The sequence below is a fragment of the Homo sapiens genome, chromosome 18 (assembly GCF_000001405.40).
Source record: "Homo sapiens chromosome 18, GRCh38.p14 Primary Assembly".
NCBI classification, from domain to species: Eukaryota; Metazoa; Chordata; class Mammalia; order Primates; family Hominidae; genus Homo; species Homo sapiens.
In genome coordinates, this window is record NC_000018.10 from 45,844,110 (window position 1) to 45,857,506 (window position 13,397).

General features: G+C 45.1%; 1 protein-coding gene across 19 annotated transcripts in view; it reads right to left on the reverse strand.

Moving 5' to 3' along the window:
* EPG5 (ectopic P-granules 5 autophagy tethering factor) overlaps positions 1 to 13,397 on the reverse strand; it is a 166,749-nt gene that overhangs the window by 43,529 nt on the left and 109,823 nt on the right. For 8 of the 19 annotated variants that reach the window (XM_047437707.1, XM_017025891.2, XM_047437705.1 and 5 more), the window contains 2 exons: positions 11,464 to 11,578; positions 3,500 to 9,309 (listed from right to left, as the gene is read on the reverse strand). In XM_047437707.1, coding sequence (XP_047293663.1) covers positions 9,097 to 9,309; positions 11,464 to 11,578 — 328 coding nt within the window. In that variant the 3' untranslated portion in view covers positions 3,500 to 9,096. Of the gene's footprint in view, positions 1 to 3,499; positions 9,310 to 11,463; positions 11,579 to 13,397 lie in introns of those variants that run through there. The other 11 variants (XM_047437709.1, XM_047437708.1, NM_001410859.1 and 8 more) reach the window with 2 other exon arrangements.

Genomic DNA, 13,397 nt, shown 5'->3' on the forward strand with positions numbered 1-13,397 from the left:
TGCAACAACATGGATGGAACTGGCAGCCATTATGTTAAGGGAAATAAGTCAAGCACAGAAAGATAAATATCGCATGTTCGCACTCACATGTGGAAGCTAAAAAAAGTTGAAATTGAACTCATGGAGTAATAGAATAATGGTTACCAGGGGCTGGGAAGGATAGCAGGGAGCGGGCGATAACGTGGGGATACTTACTGAGAACAAAATACTGTTAGAACGAATAAGATCTAGTATTTGCTAGCACAAGAGGGCGACTATAGTTAACAACTTATTGTATATTTTAAAATAACTAAGAGTGGAATTGGAATGTTCTTAACGGTAAGTACTTGAGGTGATGGATACGCCAATCCCTGATTTGATCATTGCACATTGTATGCCTGAATCAAAACATCACATGTACCCTATAAATATATAAATACATATACCCATACTAATTAAAAATGTTTTTTAAAAAAGAGGCAGTGATGCTTTTTCCAGGGAGACGGTCTGAAGGTCAAGGGATCTTCACAAGATCTTCACAAGTTATTATGCAGGCCAGTGGGTTGCAAAGCTCCACTCCTCACCAGAGCCTTCACCAGGGCAAGAGGTGGCTCCTAATTAACCTTGGGATTCATCCAGGAGCCTGTCTGAGCTGTTAAGAGGTCACAGGAGCAGGCTTGTGTACCTCCTTGTATGGGGATGCTTTGGGGCACCTCTATGGAAAGTCCTGCATGACCAGGGAAGAAGTTAAGGACACAGGAGTGGTGTGTATTGGAACATCTGCCTGGTCTTTGAGGCCAGTTTCACAGCCAAGAAAAATTGCAATAGGAATTATTTCTTAAGTATCTGCTTTGTGCTCTATCACCTCAATACCATTACCACATTTGAGATCATTAACATGAATGCAGTATCATTTTACAGTCCGTATTCAGATTTCCACGACTGTCTTCAAAATGTCCTTTTGAAGTTTGTTGTTTCTAAGCAGGAAGCAGTTGACTCCAGGTGATTCTTAAGCTAACGGTTGAGACTGCAGCTCTGGGTGCACCTGGCATTGGCATGATGGTGCAGATGTGTAACGGTGCCAGGTAATCAGCTGGTGCTAGCTGATACATACCCTTCTGCGGTACTTGCATTTTGAAGAGGGCTTCTTGGGACTGGAAGAAGCGCCATTCCTCAGAGAGACATGCCTCTGTTGGCATGGTTTCAGATGCAGTGAGAGGCTGTGGGAAGCATGTTGAGGAGGGTCGGCCAGCTGGCACCCCCTTTAACAACGGCACACAGTGCACAGGCAGCCCCCAGCTTGGCCTCCTGATAAAGCCGCTGCTCCTAGGGTCAGAGGGGAGGGTGGTGAGGGGACAGCACTCGGCCCTCCCCAGACCCTCTGGGCTGCTCTTGGAGCCTGGCACTGTCCCTGTAAGAGGTCTGGGTGGAGCAGAGCTGCCTGTCTTCCCCCACCCACCCTCTCAGAGTACTCAGGCTCTGTCACTGGCAACAAAGACCAGAGACACGAGCGGCAGGCTGAGTCAGCATGGTGTCCTGCGGCACGGAGTCAAGGAGAGAAATGACCCAGAAGACTCGGTGTTTTCAAGATTGGACTTCCTGTTGTAGTGCAGGGCACAGCGTTCCATGAACATGCTCTTCCCAGGGGCTTCTGACAGGCAGGCTGCGGCCTGCAGGCTTTGCTCTGTGGTCAATGCCCACCAGACTTTGAAGACAGCAGTGAGAGGAAGTGGCCGGCAACTACCTGGGTGATCTCCTGGGTCCACCAGGAGCCCAACACACTTTCCCTGCTGCCAACTGAAATTTAAAACTAGATGTAGCTACGTGAGAAGAAACCACCCAGGGGATAATCTATGGTGAAAGTAGGCCCTGCCTTGAGATGGAAATGAGTTGGCTGGAGACACCATGGGCTGAGTTTTCACTTGTACCTCACTGGTCAGACAGGACAAGAGAGCCAGGGTCAGGGTGGGTGCTTGGTCCCCCACCAGTCACAGAAGCCTCAGGCTGGAAGGCTCTTTAGACAAGAGTCAAGCGTCCGGGTTTTGTCCCGGCTCCAGTGCTGGCCACTAAAGTCCAGTCCCACCCCCTCTTCAATAACAGCCCCTCATGTTTCTGGGCCCCCTGTGATCCTCAAAGCCCTGTAAGATCCCAGTGGAGGTCAGGGGCGGTGGCTCATACCTGTATCACTTTGGGAGGCCGAGGTGGGCGGATCACCTGAAGTCAGGAGTTCAAGACCAGCCTGGCCAACAAGGCGAAACCCCGCCTCTACTAGAAATACAAAAACTAGCCAGGCATGGTGGCAGGTGCCTGTAATCCCAGCTACTCGGGAGGGTGAGGCACAAAAATTGCTTGAACCCAGGAGGTGAAGGTTGCAGTGGGCCGAGATCGCGCCACTGCACTCCAGCCTAGGCAACAAGAGCAAAACTCCCTCTCAAAAAAAAAAAAAAAAAAAAAAAAAAGATCTCGGGGGTTCTAAGAGCCCAGCAGGTAAGACTGGAATTATACTCATTTTAAAATGAGGAAAAGCCCCCAGGGAGGAAAGAGATCTTGTTACCAGAAAGGGGTCCCGATCCAGACACTAAGACAGGGTTCTTGGACCTCGAGCAAGAAAGAATTCAGGGTGAGTCCACAGTGCAAAGCAAAATCAAGTTTAAGAAAGTAAAAGAGTAAGAAAATGGCTACTCCATAGGCAGAGCAGCCCCGAGGGCTGCTGGTTGCCCTTTTTTTTGGTTATTTCTTGATTATATGCTAAACAAGGGGTGGCAAAGAAAGACCAAGAGAGAAAAGGGCTGTCTTCAGAAGAGAAGCATTTTCGGAGAAAGATCGTTTCTTTCAGAGGGTCCCCACAAAGATGCCCACTGGTCTGGAGACAGCTAACTTGGCTGCTGCACTAGAAGGAAGTGAGACAACCTGCCTCTAGGCCACTTTCCAACCCTTCAATCTTGTGGTTCCATCTGGTTTAAAAAGCTGCCAAGCTTAGACAAGGGTGAGGGAGACATACCCCACTCCCAGAAAGGCCTGTCCCTAAGGAATCCCAAATTGGTTTAATTCTCAAATGGAATGTGCAGACCCTTCTCCACACCTTGGCCCATTCAAAGTGCATCTTACAAATGTGAGTGAAAAATAACACTAAAGAGAACTCCCTGGGCATCCCACCACTGAAGGTGGATTTCCCCAGCAGACCATGACCAAGCTGGGGTTACACTGCCAGAAGCACCCCCACTCCCACCTCATTTGTGCAATTTTTATGGCCCTGCTCTTACCAAGCTCAAGGCCACATCACAGACCCTCCTGACCTCTCTGAGATCAGCAGGTGGCCTCCTGTCCCTGCCAATTCTGAAATTCTCAAGTTAAAACTTCTCTTTGAAATTAGAGGCCTCGCCCATCGTGGTGAAAGGTCACAAAATAACTATTCTATCCATTACGAAGTTTCTCATATAAAATTTTTCTTATTGTGGTTTAATGTATGAAAAGACTGTCAACCAACTTGCAGGAAACAATGAGACAGGCCCGCCATGTGTAAATTAAATTCGAATCTAGTTTATTTGCAGAATTTTACTTAACCAGTTGTCATTTCTTCCTGTTTCTCACCATTATATAAAAACTTACCCTTTGTACAAGTATGAAAAATGTGGAACAATGAATAAGTAGTGAATATTGCACATTTAATGTCCAAAATAAAGTTGTGGTTTTTAAAGGTCACACTAGATATGTGGGAAGAAAACGAGTTGAACACACTTAAGTATGTGTCTCCACATAAGTGATTTTAAACTATTGAAAGAAAAATAAATTCTATCAGTGCTCAATGAGAGACAGTACATCTGTACATTAAAAAATAAAAGTTATAATCAACAACATTCCTTCGCAATTTCATTATCCCAAAAGAGGATCAGTAGTATAATTATTTTTTTTTCAAGTTATTTTCATCAGGAATCAGGAACCTACCAGAGTGAAGGAAACCTCAAATACAGCTACTCCTGGACACTGATGCCCGAGGCATGCTGTGGAAACCGGACCAAAATGAAGTCTGCGTTAGTAAGTCTAGAACTTTACCCAGCACAACCCAGACACAAATGGAAGATGGTAGAAGGGGATACTTTCTTTTAATCAACACACTTATTTCCCAACATTATATTCTCCATTTTGCTTAATAAGACAAAGTTAACTGATCAGAAAAATGATCAGCTACTATCTCAAAATGAGCTGTACAGTTGGCCCAAAATGAAGAGCAGGCAGTAGTAGAGGATTAAGGGCAAAGTGCCTTGTTGTTAGGCCTGTCATGAAGATGTGGGGTGAGATCTGTCTTGGGCAACAACTGATATTAAGCTGAGGTCTGCAGTCTCAACTTGCCACTAGCTTAATGTGCCTCCCATGGGGCACAGCTACTGAAAGCTGATGCTGCCCAAGCATTTAGGGAGATAATTATGCCACTTGGACCACACTGGTGCGACTCTAACCCCAGGGCTGGGGCCAGAATGAGGTAAAGGAGGCACCACGGGGGTAAACCCAAGGAAGCACTCTCTTGGCACCTGCAAGCAAGCACCAACTTAAATGTATGCCCCAGGTGCCTCATTTGTCTCACCCTAGCCCTGGCCCTGCTAATCCGGGGCACACCCCTTTTAGGATAACACGGACTAATTTGGACACTTTCCCCAAACCGTAGCCCAGTTAGACATGATGGTGGAAAAGGTCTAACTAAAGACATTGCAGGGGAGATGGGCGCGGTGGCTCACGCCTGTAATCCCAGCACTCTGGGAGGCCGGGGCGGGCGGACCACAAGGTCAGGAGTTTGAAACCAGCTTGTCTCAATGGCTGGGTGAAACCCTGTCTCTACTAAAAAATACAAAAATTAGCCGGGCGTGGTGGCATGCACCTGTAGTCCTGGCTCCTTGGGAGGCTGAGGCAGAATAGCTTGAACCCAGGAGGCGGAGGTTGCAGTGAGCCGAGACCATGCCATTGCACTCCAGCCTGGGTGACAGATGAGACTCGTCTCAAAAAAAAAAAAAAAAAAAAGACATTGGGGGATTTAGCTTGGATTTAGCCTAAGAGGTGAGGGGTGGGGTGGAAGTGGTGTTAGACATGTGATGAAAACTGAAAATATCTAAAGGTCTGCCTCAAGGAGGGGCAAGTGAACAGCCCCAGCCTGAACTGCTCTGGACAGAACCACGACCAATAGGCAACGTAGAAACATCTTGGTTCAATAGAAAGCAGAACTACAGAGCCTGCGGATGGCAGCCTAGGCCTGCCCATCACAGGCTGGACCACCAGGCACTGGACAGGGGCAGAGGAGAGGCAGGAGGATCCCTGCAGAGTGAGAGGGGCACTAGATGAACGTGAATGACCCTTCTGACTGTAAAAGTCTACGATTCCAGGACATTTGCTTCCTGCTCCAGAAGAAAGAATTTCAGGAATAAAAACTCAGTGAAAAAGTATATATCACCTTCATTTGAAAGGAACGAGGACATGAACACTCTTGGCTTGTATGACATGTACACACTGATTTTGATGATGAACTGAGAGGAACCAGGAGGCCGTCACTTGGTTGAAAGGAAGTTAGGCTGGTCTATGGGTTTTCATTTTCTGGACTAGGCTTTCCCCAACCTCAAAGAAGTGAGAGACGCAGGCACACAACCCCAGTGGGGCAGAGGCATGCGATGTCTGAGCCAACAAAGGATGGTGAGACTGAGAAATGAGTCACGCCTTGGAGCTGAGGTCCCGAGTGTGCAGGAAGGAGCTTTGGAAACATGTACAGGTGGGTCCCGAATCCACTGCTACTGTCATGCTATGTAGACAGTTGTGTAGACACATCTGGCAGGACCTCCCTCCCTCTATGTCTGGTGTGTTCCAGCATTCTGCCCTTCACTTGTTCTATTAATAGGCAGTGGGACAACATGATTCCGGGATGCAGCCTGCCTCTGCAACCCACCTGTGCACTGCAGCATGGGGAGTGATGGAGAGGGAGAGAGATGTTTTTCATGGCAACCAGAATCCTGCCTCCTCCTGCTCCCAGGAAGCTGTTAGACATCTTTATTTGGTCCCGATGCCACTGTTGGCCACCCTGTGGTGAAGTCTGGAGCCTGCAGCCGTTCGCCCTCCACGCTGCTCAGTCCACAGGGCCTTGGTCTTGCTTGATTCCCGTCTTGATGTGCGGCACCCATCACTGATTCTGAAACCACAGCCCCGTGCTCTCTGGAGGCCAACAATTTTTTCAAGCCAAGGCTCATTACCCCTGCAAGCCAACAGGCGGGCTGGTCTCTCTGCCGCCCTTCTTTCCCAGGAGGCTACAGCAGCATGGCCATGTCTGAACTAGCTCAGTGTCTTTATAGCACGTTCCTAGCCCAGAGTTTCCCATAGACACCTAGGAGTTGAGTCAACCTTCCAAGGTTAAGCAAGAAAGAGTTAAAGAGGAAGCGCTTTCACTGACCATCTCTGATTATTAATGAAGTTCAATGTCAAATAAATTAAATGACATCAGGCATAAAAACCTACAGCAACTTTAACAGCTGAAACACTTTACAAGATAGTGTGATATCCCTATAATTTGGTTTTTAAACAGTTACAACCAAAGATAAATGATTTTATTTTTTATAATTTTTACAGACCAAAAAACATTATACAGATTAATCATAATTTTCTTTAAAATGTGCATACTGTCACTCAAAAATTTCACATCCTAGGATATCAGTAATTATATCCTCCTCAAAGAAAACACAAAATATTTCCAAACAAAAATCGCTGTTGCCAGATCAGACTATTAAATTGTCCACAGCTTCTCAAATTTTCTTATACAGAGAACAAGATGATTAATTTTGAAAACGGAGAGAAGCAAAAATAAGAAAAGCTGAGACAGATCCCTCTGAGACGGACATTTTGTGGCCTGTAAAACTCAAGAGACTAAACAGGGATGTTCTTTATCAGAGCTGCAAAGCGTGTCTTTAAGGCAGAATCGTTCTGTCCAAGTAAAGAAATTCAAAGTAAAGAAAAGCTCCTACCAACTTCCCAATTTTGGGGGAAGCATTCCAAAAGGACATTTGAGGAGAGATTAGCACTCTGTTAACTATATTCCTATACCCCTATAAACATTCTTGGTGGCTGTTTAGACATTTTTAGGTAAATATTCTCAGGCTACAGACTACCCATACACAAAGACATATTAAGCCAGCTATGCAGGCAAAATCCATCTAGAGCTGATAGAATGAGGAACGTGGGAACAGAAGTCAAACTGCTCATTCCCAGGAGAAATAACATGAGCAAGAAGATGGCCACAGAACAAGGCAAAGTTACACACAGGCTTTGGTAATGAATGAACTGTCAACAACAGAAGGCACGTGGCTATGGAAAAAAAGCCAAATTTCAGTAGATCTCCCGACCTGACCCAGTTTCCACAGACAAGTGTTTCAGCAGGTCCATTGGCTTCATCTGAGTTTGAAGTTAAAAAACAAGCAGGGAACAGAGAATCAGGTCTTCAGTCTCCCTCAGTCTCTGTCTCCTGACACTGAGCCTTTCAGATATCGAACATGGTGTCTATCAAAGGGTGCAAACTTAGGTGTCGACAGGGGCAAGTGATGTGAATGAGGCTAGGGTCAGGGCCCGAGGGAATGCACAGACTCTCCCGACTAGAGAGAGGCAGCCCTGTCTGCACTCCTCACCAAGTGGACCAAACAAAACATCTGTGCAAAACATGCTCCTCCCAGACTGCCAGCTTGCCATCCTGATTCAGACAGGCAGCTTCTCCATGAGGATACACGGCTGGATGGAAATTGACTTGTCATCATCTCTACTGCCCACTATAATCACGATCAAGTGGTCGTATTTTACACATGACCCACTTTAACTAACTCGGCATTTTTATCTCCCTTCTGAGAAAAACAATACTTTAAAACTATTGTATTTGTCCACATTTGAGAAATGCAGAAATTTTTCAAAATTGACTTCTTTACTTTGGAGGAACACAAATGGGGTTTAAAAGTAAGGGTACTGAGTGACTTCCAAGGTTGTCAGATCTGGAACATTTACATAAAACAGAGACAGAAGTGGAAACATACAAAGAACTCCATCTGGAGGTCTTGTGAGATGACTGGGACATTCGGCAACTGTGAGTGGCTCTGCACCCAAGTGGAACTTAGTAAGTTTCTCTTGTGGATAAATATAAAAACTTAAAGAGTCCCCAGAAGGTCTTAAGAGCTAAGAAAACACACACACACACACACACACACCCCAAAATTATCTAATATCTAACGCCTCCCAACTTGCATCTCAGTCAACTACACATTGGCCAAACTGAGCTCTACAGTGCAATTGAGCAAAGTTACTTGTGCAACAGCAAAGTTAAATGTAAACATAAACAGCAATGGGTTTTTCAAGAGCCTCAGTGTTAACTATCGTATGTGGTCCAAATAATGCACTTCTGGATACAGACAGTTAACGAGAAGAGCCAAGAAGCTTTTCCCATCTTGAAGGCAATGGCCAGGATGCCTTATAAATTGGGTGGCTTGCAATATTTGATCCTGGTATTCAACATACTGCTTACTTGATGCCATGGATTCAAGAGCATTCAGAGCCTAAAAGACACGGAAGATGAGAGGGTTAACTCCATAGAGGCACATAATGTGACTGCCAGAGGTACAGCACACCCATTATCACTGTGTACTTCAACTGTGAGCCTTGTGGGAAGGAGGCCTACAGAACTGAGGCCAGGAGTCCGGAAGGCAGGCATTGATTAACTTAACCACAACCAGAAGGAGGCCAGCAGCCCAAGCCTCTGTGGCCTTTGCAGCATCCCACACCCAGCCTTCCCTGTTTCTGTTCTGTGCCATTTCCCAACCTTGCCTTACCAAGAGCCACTGCTGTGGCAGGCTGCTCTTGTTGCTGGGCGCCTCACCTGCCACACCGATTTCTAAAGCCTGCCTTGTCCTCGTTCTCCCCAGTCCCACCTGTGGGGTCCTCCCCACCAGATTGTCCACTCCTTCCGTTCTAGGGCGCAACCGGAAATCCCAGGCACCAGCCTCATCTTGCTAAGGTGAAATCTGTTCAATCTGCTGTTGGGTATGTTCCTAGGTTATGAGATAATGTTATATGAAACTGTCTAACGGAAAGGAATTCTAGAGGAACCAGTTGCTAAGTGCTGCCAAGAGTAAGTGAGAAGGTTGTTAAATCAGCCAACAAGCATGAAGTACATAGGTTCCTCCCGAATCCATCTGACAAATGACACAAAATCATGGCAGAAACTGTTTCCATGCCTCTCTTCAGAGGAAGGAAAGAAAAGCATTCTTTGACTCCAGAATTTTGATTATTCCTTTCTTCATAGTAGGAGAAGAGAAGGGGAAGAGACTGTATATGGAGAAAACAAAAAATCAACAATGGCTCTTGATTTTTGGGGTGAGGAGTTTTGTTTTCCAACTTAACAAGCTCATCCACCCCAGGATTCTGACGGTGTTCCCCTCCTCACTGGGGCACATCCCCCACCATGGAGTGCCCCACTCCCTCCTTGTCCCTTTTACAGAAACCACTGCACTAGAAAATATGTATTAAAAGATGGAATGTGCTTGATTCAAAAACCATAAGAGAGGGGATTTTTTTGAGGATGATAAATAAACCAGAATTTTAGAAATTAACTACCAGGAGGGCTGTAGATGGAAGTCTTTGGGCTGAAAATAAACTGAAGGTATCTGGGTACCAAATTAAGAGCTATGTAAACAGAGTTCAATTTAAGAATAGGAATCAACTGGGACAGGCATTCCCATGAATCACAGTGTCCCTCTGTCTCTCTCCCTCTCTTTTCCTTCTTTAAATTTAGTCCCCCAAACAGTCTACTTTGACAGTTTGCCTAACGATAATCATTTTCTAAAAAGACAACTTTCTTCAAATCTGAAAATCCTGATGACAAGTATGTATGGGACATACAGGGAGTCATCACTTTAAGTCCAAAGAAATGAAGGCAAAGAGGCCAGGCCTGGGCAGCCCAGGGCCCCAGCTAAAGCAAGAAACTGATGCTGCAGGTACTGGTGGCCACAGGAGACGTAGTCTTCTCAAATACACCCTGCATCTCACTGACTTCACAACCTGCCCTCAGGATATTCATCTGCCCACTGGGATGTTTCATGTAAGACAATAGGGGATTCAAACAGCAGCTGTCTAGGCAATGAGTGACAACTATCAGCTATTTTATAAGCCCAGATCCCTGTGGAGAACCTGCTAATCTGCTAATTATTCTGTCTGATCCTTGCTCTTAATAACCAAGATCTGACATTGCATGTGGCTGGCTTAGACATGACAAAGTTGCCCCAGCAGAGGAGCTAAGGTGTTCAAGCTCTGAGCACTTACAGAGACAGCCCTGCAGAGCAGGGAATGGGAGAGGCCTGGAGCCAGACTGGCCAGTGCGACTTCCAGCCCCAACACTTACTAGGTGTGTAATTTGGGACAAATTACTTAGCCTTTCTCTCTCTCTCTCTCTTTCCTCATCCAAAAAACCAGGATAATAATAGTTCCCAGCTGGATGCAGTGGCTCATGCCTGTAATACCAACACTTGGGAGGCTGAGGCTAAGAGGAACGCTTGAAGCCAGGAGTTTGAGACCAACCTCAGCAACAAAGCGAGACCCAGTCTCTACAAAAAAAATTTTTAATTAGCCAGGAGTGGCAATGCATGCCTGTAGTCCTAACTACTTGGGAGGCTGAGGTGGGAGGATTGCTTGAGCACAGGAGTTCAAGGCTGCAGTGAGATATGATCACACCATTGCACTCCTGCCTGGGCAACAGAATAAAACCCTGTCTTAAAAAATAAAGTCGTTTCTGTGCTATAGCATTGCTATGAGGATTAAATGAGTTAAAGCTTTAACTCACTAATATTGGTCGAGTTAAAACTTATAATAGTACCTGGCACAGAGGGAGTACTCACGAATGCTGATCATCATTTTTTACTGTGCACCTTTGTACCTGGCCAGCATGTCCATAGGTTATAGGAATGTGGCCTTCCATGTTTTTAGAAGAAGCTATAATTTCTAGCTACCATTCTGTCCATGTTAGGTTATTCTAGCATCAGCCAACAATAGTCAACCTTCAGACTCACAAAACAGGAACTACTTTCTCGGTTCCAAGCTAAAGCTCAGCTAATTTCCATCCATCCCAACTGTAGCCACATCTTCTGTGCGAGATCCCAGTCCCCAGCTCCAGCCCCTGCCCCAGCCCAAGCATGTGGTAGATAAGTGCATATTCACACTTATCAGAACCAAATTTAATGCTAGACAGACTTTTCGTTTGGCCTTACTTTTCTACAATGACAGTAGCAGCGATCTAGACAACTGCCTACAAAAATTTGGAGGTTGGCACATGAAACCATTTTCCCGTAAGTAGGGCACATGAAAGGGAACACTGTGCTACCACCACAGAGCATCATGTCATGACGCGCACAGGCTACGGCTGCCACCTCCCTGCCTTCTAGGGAAGATGTGCAGGCAAACTTCTAACCCTTCATTGTATATACTGACCTGCTGAGCTTTGGGGGTCAGATGTAATTCAGAGCCAGGCCTCAAACGGATCTGATCTTCCATAGGAACCTGAACTGAAAGGAAGGCAGCCATGCTTCGGGCAACCACTCGGAACCTTAGGCATTAGGGAGAGGTCAGAAGAAGTAAATGGCTATTAAAGTAAGCATTTTGAAATAAACACCATATTTTCTATGACATAAAAAGATGAACACATTTCCAGATCTACTGTGTTGTTCACCTTCTCAGGAAAATCTTAAATATGATCAAGAAGAAGTTTTATCCATTATCACCATCCAAACAATATATGTATAATTCAGATTCAAGAATGAAAGTGTTGGCAAAGATGTGGAGTAACTGGAACCCTTGCACATTGCTGGTGGGAATGTAAATGGTGCAGGCACTAGGGAAAAGAGTTTGGCAGTTCCTCAACAAGTGAAGCATAGAGTTACCATAGGACCCAGCAATTCTGCTCCTAGGTATACACAAAAAACTAAAAACAGATGTTCTAACAAAAACTGGTATACAAATGCTCATAGCAGCATTATCTGCAATAGCCAAAAGGTTGAAACAATCCAAATGTCCATCAGCTAATGAATGGATAAACAAAATGTGGAATACAAAGGAATATTATTCAGCCATAAAAACAAACGAAGTATGGATACATGCTACAACATAAATGAACCTTGAAAACTTTATGTTAAGTGAAAAAAGTCCAACATAAGGGGCCACACATTATATGATTCCATTTATATGAAATGTCCAAAATAGGATTCAATACATAAAGTCATAATGTCAATTAGTGGTTACTAGAGACACGGGGATTAAAGGGAATGGAGGTGACTACTTAATGAGTGTAGGGCTTCCTTTTGGAGTGATGAAAATGTTCTGAAGCTAGATTGTGGTGATGGCTACAACAACATTGTCAATGTTCTAAATGTCACTGAATTGTGCATATAAAAATGGTTACCATGGAAAGTTTTAAGTTATGTGTATTTTATCACAATTAAAAAGAATAAAAGACGCAAGCCAAATTTAAGTAAAACAAAATCTCGCAGTCCTGCTATCTTCCACCGCAAACAAAAAAACATGACGTTAACTGGTTTGGAATGAGTGAGTCCCAAAGTTACAACATCACAATGGGCTATTCCACAAGAATGCTGACATCATCAAGTTTGCAAACTCTTTTCAACACTGACAAGGGCTTGAAAAGGAAACCATGATGTAAGTAAGTATTATGAGAGAAAACAGGAGCTAATGGCAAATTCTTCCATGCCTTGGGATTTTTTGCAACAAAAATCCAGACTTGCTTCTCATTACTTATCCTTCTTACCAACAGGCCTTTTATTCATTTTTTCTGTTTTTTTGAGACAGAGTCTTGCTCTGTTGGCCAGGCTGGAGTGCAATGGTGTGATCTCGGCTGACTGCAACCTCTGCCTCCTGGGTTTAAGCAATTCTCCTGCCTCAGCCTCCTGAGTAGCTGGGACTACAGGTGCTTGCCACCACACCCAGCTAATTTTTATATTTGTGTTTATTTATTTATTTATTTATTTATTTTTAGACAGGGTCTGACTCTGTCACCTAGGCTGGAGTGCAGTGGCATAATTTCAGCTCACTGAAACCTCTGTCTCCCGGGTTCAAGCGATTCTCCCACCTCAGCCTCCAGAGTAGCTGGGACTACAGGCATGTATCACCATGCCCGGCTAATTTCTGTATTTTTTGGTAGAAACGGGGTTTCACCATGTTGGCCAGGCTGGTCTCGAACTCCTGACCTCAAGTGATCTGCCTGCCTTGGCCTCCCAAAGTGCTGGGATTACAAGTGTGAGCCACCGCGCCTGGCCACCAACAGATCTTAACCCAGCTTGACGACTTTACAGTTCACTAGACTGAGTCCCTCACAGGTTCTGGATTTCCCTGAACGCCTCAAGTGCCCAGCT